The sequence below is a fragment of the Homo sapiens genome, chromosome 1 (assembly GCF_000001405.40).
Source record: "Homo sapiens chromosome 1, GRCh38.p14 Primary Assembly".
Classification (NCBI taxonomy): domain Eukaryota; kingdom Metazoa; phylum Chordata; class Mammalia; order Primates; family Hominidae; genus Homo; species Homo sapiens.
The window spans coordinates 54,714,218-54,715,522 of record NC_000001.11 but is presented as its reverse complement, the minus strand read 5'-3'; the positions used below and the strand labels follow the sequence as shown (position 1 = coordinate 54,715,522).

The window sequence follows — 1,305 nt, the reverse complement described above, 5'->3', positions numbered from 1 at the left end:
CTAAGGCAGTGGGGAGGAAACGACAATAGTTGAGATGTAAGAGTTTGTCAGGGGTAGCAAGAGCTATTGGGGAAAAGTTTTAAACAGGATGGGTAGACATTCTGCCAGAGGCCTGGGAGTGACTAGGAGGGGTCTGGGAAAGGCATTCCCATGGAAGGAACAGGGAACAGTCCGGAAGCCTGATGCGGGAGAGTCTTCTGTGCTTGGGGAACAGCAAGGAGGCCAGTGGGGCTGAAGCAGAGTGAGGAAGGGGGCAAGGAGATGATGAGGTGGGAGGACAAAAGGGCTGTGACTATGAGGATTTGGCTATTTCCTCAGTGGTATGGGACCTTTTGGAGAGTTTCGAGGAAAGGAGAGACTGATCAGACCTCTGTCTCTGAGCTTAGCCACCCCTAACTCCCACAGTTCAGATGGAAAAGGGTCTTCGGTCCAGGTGCTGCAGGCCTGGTTAGGCAGCCGCTGTGGCTTCCTGCAGCCTCTCTACCGGCCAGCAAATGGCTGCAGGTCCCTGCACCGGGGCTACAGCCTTGGGGAGCTCCTAGCCTGGTCTGGAATGAAAAGCAGACAGGAAGCACACCAATCTAAACTGGCATTGGGTCACAGGTCTGCTCAGTGAAGGCTCAGAGGGGTGGGATTCAAGGTGATGCAGAGCTGAGATCAGAGCTGAGGAAGGTCTCTGCAGATGGATAGAGGACTCAGCGTTTTAGGCAGTGGGAGCTCATATGTGGAGAGAGGCATGGAGGTGTGCACAGGCCCGCCATGCTGGGTACTGCAAGTGTTAAGAGGTGTGTCCAGGGCCGGGCACGGTGGCTCACGCCTGTAATCCCAGCACTTTGGGGGGCTGAGGCGGGCAGTTCATGAGGTCAGGAGTTCGAGACCATCCTGGCTAACACAGTGAAACCCCGTCTCTACTAAAAATACAAAAAATTAGCCAGGCGTGGTGGCACGCACCTGTAGTCCCAGCTACTGGGGAGGCTGGGGCAGGAGAATCGCTTGAATCCGGGAGGTGGAGGTTGCAGTGAGCCGAGATTGCGCCACTGCACTCCAGCCTGGGCCACAGAGCAAGACTCCACCTCAAAAAAAAAAAGAGGTGTGGCCGGCAAGTGGGTAGGGGCCAGAAGGCCTGCCTGCCTCACTGACCTTGGTCCTGCAGAGGATAATGAGTCACTGAAAAGACCTAAGAGGAGCAATGGCCGTGAGCACATTTGTCTTAGGAAGGCCTGGGCTGCCAGGTGAAGCATTGATGGGGGGAGGTTGGTTAAGAGATTGACAAGGAGGATGCTGATAAGAGACCAAGGTAAGACA

The 1,305-nt window shown here is 55.2% G+C and overlaps 1 long non-coding RNA gene across 3 annotated transcripts in view; it reads right to left on the bottom strand.

The window, feature by feature from the left end:
• Positions 1-1,305, bottom strand: part of MROH7-TTC4 (MROH7-TTC4 readthrough (NMD candidate)) — a 100,918-nt gene that overhangs the window by 27,135 nt on the left and 72,478 nt on the right.